This window comes from Homo sapiens, chromosome 2, assembly GCF_000001405.40.
Source record: "Homo sapiens chromosome 2, GRCh38.p14 Primary Assembly".
Taxonomy (NCBI): Eukaryota; Metazoa; Chordata; class Mammalia; order Primates; family Hominidae; genus Homo; species Homo sapiens.
In genome coordinates this window covers 87,419,500-87,432,023 of record NC_000002.12, presented here as the reverse complement: position 1 = coordinate 87,432,023, position 12,524 = coordinate 87,419,500, and the positions used below count along the sequence as shown (strand labels likewise).

General features: G+C 64.9%; 4 annotated features.

Moving 5' to 3' along the window:
• Window positions 6,328-7,140: an enhancer, noted in NCBI's record as "H3K27ac-H3K4me1 hESC enhancer chr2:87724395-87725207 (GRCh37/hg19 assembly coordinates)". NCBI's record gives its function as "activates a minimal SCP1, AML or CMV promoter by ChIP-STARR-seq in primed H9 embryonic stem cells {active_cell/tissue: H9 hESC(primed)}" and the evidence as "EXISTENCE:reporter gene assay evidence [ECO:0000049][PMID:30033119]".
• Window positions 9,408-10,370: an enhancer, noted in NCBI's record as "H3K27ac-H3K4me1 hESC enhancer chr2:87648777-87649739 (GRCh37/hg19 assembly coordinates)". NCBI's record gives its function as "activates a minimal SCP1, AML or CMV promoter by ChIP-STARR-seq in naive and primed H9 embryonic stem cells {active_cell/tissue: H9 hESC(naive and primed)}" and the evidence as "EXISTENCE:reporter gene assay evidence [ECO:0000049][PMID:30033119]".
• Window positions 10,371-11,334: an enhancer, noted in NCBI's record as "H3K27ac-H3K4me1 hESC enhancer chr2:87647813-87648776 (GRCh37/hg19 assembly coordinates)". NCBI's record gives its function as "activates a minimal SCP1, AML or CMV promoter by ChIP-STARR-seq in primed H9 embryonic stem cells {active_cell/tissue: H9 hESC(primed)}" and the evidence as "EXISTENCE:reporter gene assay evidence [ECO:0000049][PMID:30033119]".
• Window positions 11,436-11,936: an enhancer, noted in NCBI's record as "H3K4me1 hESC enhancer chr2:87720936-87721436 (GRCh37/hg19 assembly coordinates)". NCBI's record gives its function as "activates a minimal SCP1, AML or CMV promoter by ChIP-STARR-seq in primed H9 embryonic stem cells {active_cell/tissue: H9 hESC(primed)}" and the evidence as "EXISTENCE:reporter gene assay evidence [ECO:0000049][PMID:30033119]".

Sequence of the window (12,524 nt, the reverse complement as noted above, 5' to 3'; positions counted from 1 at the left end):
TTCTCACGGCTCCCCCAGGCCAAGGTGCTGTGCCTGGGAAACGGCCAGTCCCCACAATCAGAGAGAGGCCATGGAAAGCCCGTGTGAGAACCAGCTAAAAAAAAAAATGTAGCTAGAAAAAGGAGGCAGAGAACAATCAGGTCACATCCTCAGTCTTCAAAGAAGAATATCAGACACGGAGCAGGCTCCATGGTTGGCCAAAAACGGAAACTTCATTTCATTTGTCAGAAGTTATGTAGAGTCAGAGAATGAGATCTGGCTGGTCCTGGTACCTGATAGGGGAGCATCTTCAGGCTCTAGAAACTTCAGTGTCTGAACATTTTCCAGCTAGATCCATCCCCAGACCTGGAATACTTGAGATCAAATGTACTCAACAAAGGGGCCTCTAAAGGTGACATTTCTGGGTGTGTAAGTTGAAATCCAGAGCTATGCAAAAAAACACATGAAAATATGTCTCCTCGAAAGTACTTGGAAATGTAGTAGTCACTGACTTAAGACAAAGTTTCAATCCCATGAAGGGTTTGAAATAATCAAATCCCAATCCTGTTTGAAAACAAGAGGATAGTGATGGCTGGTGGCTGAAAAAGCTTGGGTCTCTTGGCTGGCTTTGCTGGGTGGCTGGCTTGGCTGGGTGGCTGGCTGGCTTGGCTGGCTTGGCTGGCTTGGCTGGCTGGGTGGCAGGCTGGCCTGGCTGGCTGGATGGCTGGCTGGCTTGGCTGGCTGGATGGCTGGCTGGGTGGCTGGCTGTCCTGGCTGGCTGGGTGGCTGGCTGGCTTGGCTGTCTGGCTGGCTTGCTGGCTGTCTGGGCTGGCTGGGTGGCTTGGCTGGCTTGGCTGGCTGGCTGGCTTGGCTGGCTTGGCTGGCTGGCTGGCTTGGCTGTCTGGGCTGGCTGGCTTGGCTGTCTGGGCTGGCTGGCTGGCTTGGCTGGCTTGGCTGGCCGGGTGACTTGGCTGGCTTGAGTGGGTGAGCGGATTGGCTAGCTTGGCTGGCCAGCTGGCTTGGCAGGCTGGATGGCTTGGCTGGCTTGGCTGGCAGGCTGGTTTGGCTGGCTTGGCTGTCTTGGCTGGCTGGGTGGCTTGGCTGGGTCGGTGGCTTGGCTGGCTTGGCTGCCTGGCCGGCTTGGCTGCCTTGGCTGTCTGTCCGGCTTGGTTGGCTGGCAGGCTGGCCGGCTTGACTGGCTGGCTGGTTGGCTGGCTTGGCTAGCTGAATGTCTTGGCTGGTTGGCTGGCTTGGCTGGGTTGGCTGGCTGGCTTGGCTGGCCGGGTGGCTTGGCTGGCTTGGCTAGCTGACTGGCTTGACTGGTTGGCTGGCTTGGCTGGCTTGGCTGGCTGGCTTGGCTGGCCGGGTGGCTTGGCTGGCTTGGCTAGCCGGCTGGCTTAGCTGGCTGGATGGCTTGGCTGGCATGCCTGGCTTGGCTGGCTGGCTGGCTTGGCTGGCTTGGCTGCCTGGCTGGCTTGGCTGGCATGCCTGGCTTTGCTTGCTGGCTGGCTTGGCTGCCTGGCTGGCTTGGCTGGCATGCCTTTCTTGGCTGGCTGGAGGTCTTGGCTGGCTTGGCTGGCTTGGCTGCCTGGCTGGCTTAGCTGGCTTGACTGGGTGGCTTGGCCATCTTGGCTGGCTGAGTGGCTTGGCCGGCTTGGCTGGCTGGCTGGCTTGGCTGGCTGAGTGGCTTGGCCAGCTTGGCTGGCTGGGTGGCTTGGCCGGCTTGGCTGGCTGGGTGGCTTGACTGGCTTGGCTGGCTGGGTTGTTTGCCTGGCTTGGCTGGCTGGGTGGCTTGGCAGGCTTGGCTGGCTGGCTGGCTGGCTGGCTTCGCTGGCTGGGTGTCTTGGCTAGCTTGGCTGGCTGGGTGTCTTGGCTGGCTTGGGTTGCTGGGTCTCTTGGCAGGCTTGGCTGGCTGGGTGGCTTGGCTTGTTTGGCTGGCTCGGTGTCTTCGCTGGCTTGGCTGGCTGGCTGGCTTGGCTGGCTTGGCTGCCTGGCTGGCTTGGCTGGCTTGGATGGATGGCTGGCTTGGCTGGTTGGCTGGTTTGGCCGGCTTGGCTGGCTTGGCTGGCTTGGGTGGCTGGCTGCCTGGCTGTCTTGGCTGGCTTGGCTGGCTGGGTGGCTTGGCTGGCTGGGTGGCTTGGCTGGTTTGGCTGGCTGGCTGGCTGGGTGGCTTGGCTAGCTGGCTGGCTTGGCTGGCTTTGCCGGCCGGGTGGCTTGGCTGGCTTGGCTAGCCGGCTGGCTTAGCTAGCTGGATGGCTTGGCTGGCATGCCTGGCTTGGCTGGCTGGCTGGCTTGGCTGGCTTGGCTGCCTGGCTGGCTTGGCTGGCATGCCTGTCTTGGCTGGCTGGCGGGCTTGACTGGCTTGGCTGGCTTGGCTGCCTGGCTGGCTGGCTGGCGGGCCTGGCTGGCTAGGTGGCTTGGCTGGCTTGGCTGGCTGGGTGGCTGGCTGCCTGGCTGGCTGATTGGCTTGGCTGGCTTGGCTGGCTGGGTGGCTTGGCTGGCTGGGTGGCTTGGCTGGTTTGGCTGGCTGGCTGGCTGGGTGGCTTGGCTAGCTGGCTGGCTTGGCTGGCATGCCTGGCTTTGCTTGCTGGCTGGCTTGGCTGGCTTCGCTGCCTGGCTGGCTTGGCTGGCTTCGCTGCCTGGCTGGCTTGGCTGCCTGGCTGGCTTGGCTAGCATGCCTGTCTTGGCTGGTTGGCGGGCTTGGCTGGCTTGGCTGGCTTGGCTGTCTGGGCTGGCTGACTGGCTTGGCTGGCTTGGATGGCCGGGTGGCTTGGCTGGCTTGGCTGGCTGGGTGGCTTGGCTGGCTTGGCTGGCTGGGAGGCTTGGCTGGCTTGGCTGGCTGGCTGGCTGGCTGGCTTGGATGGCTTGGTTGGCTTGGCTGGCTTGGGTGGCTGGCTGCCTGGCTGGCTGATTGGCTTGGCTGGCTTGGCTGGCTGGGTGGCTTGGCTGGTTTGGCTGGCTGGCTGGCTGGCGGGCCTGGCTGGCTAGGTGGCTTGGCTGGCTTGGCTGGCTGGGTGGCTTGGCTGGCTTGGCTGGCTGGGAGGCTTGGCTGGCTTGGCTGGCTGGCTGGCTGGCTGGCTTGGATGGCTTGGCTGGCTTGGCTGGCTTGGGTGGCTGGCTGCCTGGCTGGCTGATTGGCTTGGCTGGCTTGGCTGGCTGGGTGGCTTGGCTGGTTTGGCTGGCTGGCTGGCTGGGTGGCTTGGCTAGCTGGCTGGCTTGGCTGGCTTGGTTGGCTGGCTCTCTTGTTCGGTTGGCTGGCTTGGCTGCCTTGGCTGGCTGGCTGACTTGGCTGACTTGGCTGTCTGGGCTGGCTGAGTGGCTGGCTGGCCTGGCTGGCTGGGTGGCTGGCTGGCTTGGCTGGCTTGTCTGCCTTGGCTGGCTGGGTGGCAGGCTGGCCTGGCTGGCTGGATGGCTGGCTGGCTTGGCTGGCTGGGTGGCTGGCTGGACTGGCTGGCTGGGTGGCTGGCTGGCTTGGCTGTCTGGCTGGCTTGCTGGCTGGCTTGGCTGGCTGGGTGGCTTGGCTGGCTTGGCTGGCTGGCTGGCTTGGCTGGCTTGGCTGGCTGGCTTGGCTGTCTGAGCTGGCTGGCTGGCTTGGCTGGCTTGGCTGGCCGGGTGACTTGGCTGGCTTGAGTGGGTGAGCGGATTGGCTAGCTTGGCTGGCCAGCTGGCTTGGCAGGCTGGATGGCTTGGCTGGCTTGGCTGGCAGGCTGGTTTGGCTGGCTTGGCTGGCTTGGCTCTCTTGGCTGGCTGGGTGGCTTGGCTGGGTCAGTGGCTTGGCTGGCTTGGCTGCCTGGCTGGCTTGGCTGCCTTGGCTGTCTGGCTGGCTTGGTTGGCTGGCAGGCTGGCCGGCTTGACTGGCTGGCTGGTTGGCTGGCTTGGCTAGCTGAATGTCTTGGCTGGTTGGCTGGCTGGGCTGGGTTGGCTGGCTGGCTTGGCTGGCCGGGTGGCTTGGCTGGCTTGGCTAGCTGACTGGCTTGACTGGTTGGCTGGCTTGGCTGGCTTGACTGGCTGGCTTGGCTGGATGGGTGGCTTGGCTGGCTGGGCTAGCCGGCTGACTTAGCTGGCTGGATGGCTTGGCTGGCATGCCTGGCTTGGCTGGCTGGCTGGCTTGGCTGGCTTGGCTAGCTGACTGGCTTGACTGGTTGGCTGGCTTGGCTTCCTTGGCTGGCTGGCTTAGCTGGCCGGGTGGCTTGTCTGGCTTGGCTAGCCGGCTGGCTTAGCTGGCTGGATGGCTTGGCTGGCATGCCTGGCTTGGCTGGCTGGCTGGCTTGGCTGGCTTGGCTGGCTGGCTGGCTTGGCTGGCTTGGCTGCCTGGCTGGCTTGGCTGGCATGCCTGGCTTTGCTTGCTGGCTGGCTTGGCTGCCTGGCTGGCTTGGCTGGCATGCCTTTCTTGGCTGGCTGGAGGTCTTGGCTGGCTTGGCTGGCTTGGCTGCCTGGCTGGCTTAGCTGGCTTGACTGGGTGGCTTGGCCATCTTGGCTGGCTGAGTGGCTTGGCCGGCTTGGCTGGCTGGCTGGCTTGGCTGGCTGAGTGGCTTGGCCAGCTTGGCTGGCTGGGCGGCTTGGCTGGCTTGGCTGGCTGGGTGGCTTGACTGGCTTGGCTGGCTGGGTTGTTTGCCTGGCTTGGCTGGCTGGGTGGCTTGGCAGGCTTGGCTGGCTGGCTGGCTGGCTTCGCTGGCTGGGTGTCTTGGCTAGCTTGGCTGGCTGGGTGTCTTGGCTGGCTTGGGTTGCTGGGTCTCTTGGCAGGCTTGGCTGGCTGGGTGGCTTGGCTTGCTTGGCTGGCTCGGTGTCTTCGCTGGCTTGGCTGGCTGGCTGGCTTGGCTGGCTTGGCTGCCTGGCTGGCTTGGCTGGCATGCCTGGCTTTGCTTGCTGGCTGGTTTGGCTGCCTAGCTGGCTTGGCTGGCATGCCTTTCTTGGCTGGCTGGAGGTCTTGGCTGGCTTGGCTGCCTGGCTGGCTTGGCTGGCTTGACTGCGTGGCTTGGCCATCTTGGCTGGCTGAGTGGCTCCCCCCGCTTGGCTGGCTGGCTGGCTTGGCTGGGTTGGCTGGCTTGGCTGGCTCGCTGGCTTGCCTGGCTTGACTGGCTTGGCTGTCTTGGCTGGCTGGCTGGCTTGGCTGGCTTGGCTGGCTGGCTTGTCTGGTTTGGCTGCCTGGGCTGGCTGTCTGGCAGGGCTGTCTGGCTGGTTCGCTGGCTTGGCTGGCTTGGCTGGGTGGCCGGCTTGGCTGGCTTGGCTGACTGGCTTGGCTGGCTGGCTGTCTGGCTTCCATGGCTTGCTTGGCTGGCTGGCTTGGCGGCTTGGCTGGCTGGCTGTCTTGGCTGGCTTCGCTGGCTGGGTGTCTTGGCTAGCTTGGCTGGCTGGGTGTCTTGGCTGGCTTGGGTTGCTGGGTCTCTTGGCAGGCTTGGCTGGCTGGGTGGCTTGGCATCTTGGCTGGCTGGGCGGCTTGGCCGCTTGGCTGGCTGGCTGGCTTGGCTGGCTTGACTGGCTGGCAGGCTTGGCTGGCTTTTCTGGCTGACTGGCTTGGCTGGCTTGGCTGGCTGGGTTGGCTGGCTTGGCTGGTTTGGCTGGCTGGCTGGCTTGACTGGCTTGGCTGGCTGGCTGTCTGGCTTCCATGGCTTGCTTGGCTGGCTGGCTTGGCCGGCTTGGCTGGCTGGCTGTCTTGGCTGGCTTGGCTGGCTGGGTTGGCTGGCTTGGCTGGCTGGGTTGGCTGGCTTGGCTGGCTCGCTGGCTTGCCTGGCTTGACTGGCTTGGCTGTCTTGGCTGGCTGGCTGGCTTGGCTGGCTTGGCTGGCTGGCTTGTCTGGTTTGGCTGCCTGGGCTGGCTGTCTGGCAGGGCTGTCTGGCTGGTTGGCTGGCTTTGCTGGCTTGGCTGGGTGGCCGGCTTGGCTGGCTTGGCTGACTGGCTTGGCTGGGTTGGCCAGCTTCGCTGGCTGGCTTGGGTCTCTTGGCTGCCTGGGCTGGCTGTCTGGCTGGGCTGTCTGGCTGGTTGGCAGGCTTGGCTGGCTTGGCTGGGTGGCCGGCTTGGCTGGCTTGGCTGACTGGCTTGGCTGGTTTGGCCAGCTTTGCTGGCTGGCTTGTGTCTCTTGGCTGGCTTTGCTGGGTGGCTGGCTTGGCTGGGTGGCTGGCTGGCTTGGCTGGCTGGCTGGTTTGGCTGGCTGGCTGGCTTGGCTGTCTTGGCTGGCTTGGCTAGCTTGGCTGGCTGGCTGGCTTGGCTGGCTTGGCTGCCTGGCTGGCTTGGCTGTCTGGGCTGGCTAGCTGGCTTGGCTGGCTTGGCTGGCCGGGTGACTTGGCTAGTTTGAGTGGGTGAGTGGATTGGCTAGCTTGGCTGGCCGGCTGGCTTGGCTGGCTGGATGGCTTGGCTGGCTTGGCTGGCAGGCTGGTTTGGCTGGCTTGGCTGGCTTGGCTGGCTGGGTGGCTTGGCTGGCTTGGCTGGCTGGGTTGCTTGGATGGCTTGAGTGGCTGGCTGGCTGGCTTGGCTGGCTTGGCTGGCTGGCTGGCTTGGCTGGTTGGCTGGCTCTGCTGGTTGGCATGCTTGGCTGGCTTGGCTGGTGGCTTGCTTGGCTGGCTTGGCTAGTTGGCTGGCTTGTCTGACTGGCTGGCTGTCTTGGGTGGCTTGGCTGGCTGGGTGGCTTGGCTGGTTTGGCTGGCTGGCTTGGCTGGCTGGGTGGCTTGGCTGGCTTGGCTGGCTGGCTGGCTTGGCTGGCTTTGCTGGCTGGCTGGCTTGGCTGTCTAGGCTGGCTGGCTTGGCTGTCTGGGCTGGCTGGCTGGCTTGGCTGGCTTGGCTGGCCGGGTGACTTGGCTGGCTTGAGTGGGTGAGTGGATTGGCTAGCTTGGCTGGCCGGCCGGCTTGGCTGGCTGGATGGCTTGGCTGGCTTGGCTGGCAGGCTGGTTTGGCTGGCTTGGCTGGCTTGGCTGGCTGGGTGGCTTGGCTGGCTTGGCTGGCTGGGTTGCTTGGATGGCTTGAGTGGCTGGCTGGCTGGCTTGGCTGGCTTGGCTGGCTGGCTGGCTTGGCTGGTTGGCTGGCTCTGCTGGTTGGCATGCTTGGCTGGCTTGGCTGGTGGCTTGCTTGGCTGGCTTGGCTAGTTGGCTGGCTTGGCTGGCTGGCTGGCTGTCTTGGGTGGCTTGGCTGGCTGGGTGGCTTGGCTGGTTTGGCTGGCTGGCTTGGCTGGCTGGGTGGCTTGGCTGGCTTGGCTGGCTGGCTGGCTTGGCTGTCTGGGCTGGCTGGCTTGGCTGTCTGGGCTGGCTGGCTGGCTTGGCTGGCTTGGCTGGCCGGGTGACTTGGCTGGCTTGAGTGGGTGAGTGGATTGGCTAGCTTGGCTGGCCAGCTGGCTTGGCAGGCTGGATGGCTTGGCTGGCTTGGCTGGCAGGCTGGTTTGGCTGGCTTGGCTGTCTTGGCTGGCTGGGTGGCTTGGCTGGGTCGGTGGCTTGGCTGGCTTGGCTGCCTGGCCGGCTTGGCTGCCTTGGCTGTCTGGCTGGCTTGGTTGGCTGGCAGGCTGGCCGGCTTGACTGGCTGGCTGGTTGGCTGGCTTGGCTAGCTGAATGTCTTGGCTGGTTGGCTGGCTTGGCTGGGTTGGCTGGCTGGCTTGGCTGGCCGGGTGGCTTGGCTGGCTTGGCTAGCTGACTGGCTTGACTGGTTGGCTGGCTTGGCTGGCTTGGCTGGCTGGCTGGCTTGGCTGGCATGCCTGGCTTTGCTTGCTGGTTGGCTTAGCTGGCTGGATGGCTTGGCTGGCATGCCTGGCTTGGCTGGCTGGCTGGCTTGGCTGGCTTGGCTGCCTGGCTGGCTTGGCTGGCATGCCTGGCTTTGCTTGCTGGCTGGCTTGGCTCCCTGGCTGGCTTGGCTGGCATGCCTTTCTTGGCTGGCTGGAGGTCTTGGCTGGCTTGGCTGGCTTGGCTGCCTGGCTGGCTTAGCTGGCTTGACTGGGTGGCTTGGCCATCTTGGCTGGCTGAGTGGCTTGGCCGGCTTGGCTGGCTGGCTGGCTTGGCTGGCTGAGTGGCTTGGCCAGCTTGGCTGGCTGGGTGGCTTGGCTGGCTTGGCTGGCTGGGTTGTTTGCCTGGCTTGGCTGGCTGGGTGGCTGGCTGGCTTCGCTGGCTGGGTGTCTTGGCTAGCTTGGCTGGCTGGGTGTCTTGGCTGGCTTGGGTTGCTGGGTCTCTTGGCAGGCTTGGCTGGCTGGGTGGCTTGGCTTGCTTGGCTGGCTGGGTGTCTTCGCTGGCTTGGCTGGCTGGCTGGCTTGGCTGGCTTGACTGGCTGGCAGGCTTGGCTGGCTTTTCTGGCTGACTGGCTTGGCTGGCTTGGCTGGCTTGGCTGGCTGGGTTGGCTGGCTTGGCTGGTTTGGCTGGCTGGCTGGCTTGACTGGCTTGGCTGGCTGGCTGTCTGGCTTCCATGGCTTGCTTGGCTGGCTGGCTTGGCCGGCTTGGCTGGCTGGCTGTCTTGGCTGGCTTGGCTGGCTGGGTTGGCTGGCTTGGCTGGCTCGCTGGCTTGCCTGGCTTGACTGGCTTGGCTGTCTTGGCTGGCTGGCTGGCTTGGCTGGCTTGGCTGGCTGGCTTGTCTGGTTTGGCTGCCTGGGCTGGCTGTCTGGCAGGGCTGTCTGGCTGGTTGGCTGGCTTGTCTGGCTTGGCTGGGTGGCCGGCTTGGCTGGCTTGGCTGACTGGCTTGGCTGGTTTGGCCAGCTTTGCTGGCTGGCTTGGGTCTCTTGGTTGGCTTTGCTGGGTGGCTGGCTTGGCTGGGTGGCTGGCTGGCTTGGCTGGCTGGCTGGTTTGGCTGGCTGACTGGCTGGGCTGGCTGGCTGGCTTGGCTGGCTTGGCTGGCTGGCTGGCTTGGCTGGCATGCCTGGCTTTGCTTGCTGGCTGGCTTAGCTGGCTGGATGGCTTGGCTGGCATGCCTGGCTTGGCTGGCTGGCTGGCTTGGCTGGCTTGGCTGCCTGGCTGGCTTGGCTGGCATGCCTGGCTTTGCTTGCTGGCTGGCTTGGCTCCCTGGCTGGCTTGGCTGGCATGCCTGGCTTTGCTTGCTGGCTGGCTTGGCTCCCTGGCTGGCTTGGCTGGCATGCCTTTCTTGGCTGGCTGGAGGTCTTGGCTGGCTTGGCTGCCTTGGCTGCCTGGCTAGCTTGGCTGGCTTGACTGCGTGGCTTGGCGCCGTGGCTGGCTGAGTGGCTTGGCCGGCTTGACTGCTGGCTAGCTTAGCTGGCTGAGTGGCTTGGAGAGCTTGTGCGTAGATCTGCTTAGCTGGCTGGGTGGCTTGACCACGGTCTGCTGGCCTCTGTGACTGACTGAGCTGCCGGGCTCGCTTGGTGGCCTTGCCCAGCTTGGCTCGCTGGCTTGCTGGCTGGCTCCCTGCTGGGTGTCTTTGCTAACCTGGCTGGCTGGGTGTCTTTGCTTGCTTGGGTTGCTGGGTCTCTTGGCAGGCTTGGCTGGCTGGGTGGCTTGGCTTGCTTGGCTGGCTCGGTGTCTTCGCTGGCTTGGCTGGCTGGCTGGCTTGGCTGGCTTGGCTGCCTGGCTGGCTTGGCTGGCATGCCTGGCTTTGCTTGCTGGCTGGTTTGGCTGCCTAGCTGGCTTGGCTGGCATGCCTTTCTTGGCTGGCTGGAGGTCTTGGCTGGCTTGGCTGCCTGGCTGGCTTGGCTGGCTTGACTGCGTGGCTTGGCCATCTTGGCTGGCTGAGTGGCTTGGCCGGCTTGGCTGGCTGGCTGGCTTGGCTGGCTTGGCTGGCTGGCTTGGCTGTCTGAGCTGGCTGGCTTGGCTGGCCGGGTGACTTGGCTGGCTTGAGTGGGTGAGTGGATTGGCTAGCTTGGCTGGCCAGCTGGCTTGGCAGGCTGGATGGCTTGGCTGGCTTGGCTGGCAGGCTGGTTTGGCTGGCTTGGCTGTCTTGGCTGGCTGGGTGGCTTGGCTGGGTCGGTGGCTTGGCTGGCTTGGCTGCCTGGCCGGCTTGGCTGCCTTGGCTGTCTGTCCGGCTTGGTTGGCTGGCAGGCTGGCCGGCTTGACTGGCTGGCTGGTTGGCTGGCTTGGCTAGCTGAATGTCTTGGCTGGTTGGCTGGCTGGGCTGGGTTGGCTGGCTGGCTTGGCTGGCCGGGTGGCTTGGCTGGCTTGGCTAGCTGACTGGCTTGACTGGTTGGCTGGCTTGGCTGGCTTGACTGGCTGGCTTGGCTGGATGGGTGGCTTGGCTGGCTGGGCTAGCCGGCTGACTTAGCTGGCTGGATGGCTTGGCTGGCATGCCTGGCTTGGCTGGCTGGCTGGCTTGGCTGGCTTGGCTGCCTGGCTGGCTTGGCTGGCATGCCTGGCTTTGCTTGCTGGCTGGCTTGGCTGCCTGGCTGGCTTGGCTGGCATGCCTTTCTTGGCTGGCTGGAGGTCTTGGCTGGCTTGGCTGGCTTAGCTGGCTTGACTGGGTGGCTTGGCCATCTTGGCTGGCTGAGTGGCTTGGCCGGCTTGGCTGGCTGGCTGGCTTGGCTGGCTGAGTGGCTTGGCCAGCTTGGCTGGCTGGGTGGCTTGGCTGGCTTGGCTGGCTGGTTGGCTTGACTGGCTTGGCTGGCTGGGTTGTTTGCCTGGCTTGGCTGGCTGGGTGGCTTGGCAGGCTTGGCTGGCTGGCTGGCTTGGCTGTCTGGGCTGGCTGGCTTGGCTCTCTGGGCTGGCTGGCTGGCTTGGCTGGCTTGGCTGGCCAGGTGACTTGACTGGCTTGAGTGGGTGAGTGGATTGGCTAGCTTGGCTGGCCAGCTGGCTTGGCAGGCTGGATGGCTTGGCTGGCTTGGCTGGCAGGCTGGTTTGGCTGGCTTGGCTGTCTTGGCTGGCTGGGTGGCTTGGCTGGGTCAGTGGCTTGGCTGGCTTGGCTGCCTGGCCGGCTTGGCTGCCTTGGCTGTCTGTCCAGCTTGGTTGGCTGGCAGGCTGGCCGGCTTGACTGGCTGGCTGGTTGGCTGGCTTGGCTAGCTGACTGGCTTGACTGGTTGGCTGGCTTGGCTGCCTTGGCTGGCTGGCTTGGCTGGCCGGGTGGCTTGTCTGGCTTGGCTAGCCGGCTGGCTTAGCTGGCTGGATGGCTTGGCTGGCATGCCTGGCTTGGCTGGCTGGCTGGCTTGGCTGGCTTGGCTGGCTGGCTGGCTTGGCTGGCATGCCTGGCTTTGCTTGCTGGCTGGCTTGGCTGCCTGGCTGGCTTGGCTGGCATGCCTTTCTTGGCTGGCTGGAGGTCTTGGCTGGCTTGGCTGGCTTGGCTGCCTGGCTGGCTTAGCTGGCTTGACTGGGTGGCTTGGCCATCTTGCCTGGCTGAATGGCTTGCCCGGCTGGCCTGGCTGGCTGGCTTGGCTGGCTGAGTGGCTTGGCCGGCTGGCTGGCTGGGTGGCTTGGCTGGCTTGGCTGGCTGGGTGGCTTGACTGGCTTGGCTGGCTGGGTTGTTTGCCTGGCTTGGCTGGCTGGGTGGCTTGGCAGGCTTGGCTGGCTGGCTGGCTGGCTGGCTTCGCTGGCTGGGTGTCTTGGCTAGCTTGGCTGGCTGGGTGTCTTGGCTGGCTTGGGTTGCTGGGTCTCTTGGCAGGCTTGGCTGGCTGGGTGGCTTGGCTTGCTTGGCTGGCTGGGTGTCTTCGCTGGCTTGGCTGGCTGGCTGGCTTGGCTGGCTTGACTGGCTGGCAGGCTTGGCTGGCTTTTCTGGCTGACTGGCTTGGCTGGCTTGGCTGGCTTGGCTGGCTGGGTTGGCTGGCTTGGCTGGTTTGGCTGGCTGGCTGGCTTGACTGGCTTGGCTGGCTGGCTGTCTGGCTTCCATGGCTTGCTTGGCTGGCTGGCTTGGCCGGCTTGGCTGGCTGGCTGTCTTGGCTGGCTTGGCTGGCTGGGTTGGCTGGCTTGGCTGGCTCGCTGGCTTGCCTGGCTTGACTGGCTTGGCTGTCTTGTCTGGCTGGCTGGCTTGGCTGACTTGGCTGGCTGGCTTGTCTGGTTTGGCTGCCTGGGCTGGCTGTCTGGCAGGGCTGTCTGGCTGGTTCGCTGGCTTGGCTGGCTTGGCTGGGTGGCCGGCTTGGCTGGCTTGGCTGACTGGCTTGGCTGGGTTGGCCAGCTTCGCTGGCTGGCTTGGGTCTCTTGGCTGCCTGGGCTGGCTGTCTGGCTGGGCTGTCTGGCTGGTTGGCTGGCTTGGCTGGCTTGGCTGGGTGGCCGGCTTGGCTGGCTTGGCTGACTGGCTTGGCTGGTTTGGCCAGCTTTGCTGGCTGGCTTGGGTCTCTTGGTTGGCTTTGCTGGGTGGCTGGCTTGGCTGGGTGGCTGGCTGGCTTGGCTGGCTGGCTGGTTTGGCTGGCTGACTGGCTGGGCTGGCTGGGCTCGCTGTCTGGCTTGGCCGGCTCGGCTGGCTGGCTGGCTGGCTGGCTGGGCTGGCTTTGCTGGCTGGCTGGCTTGGCTGGCTTGGCTGGCCGGGTGACTTGGCTGGTTTGAGTGGCTTAGTGAATTGGCTAGCTTGGCTGGCCGGCTGGCTTGGCTGGCTGGCTGGCTTGGTTGGCTTGGCTGGCTGGCTGGCTTGGCTGTCTGGGCTGGCTAGCTGGCTTGGCAGGCTTGGCTGGCCGGGTGACTTGGCTAGTTTGAGTGGGTGAGTGGATTGGCTAGCTT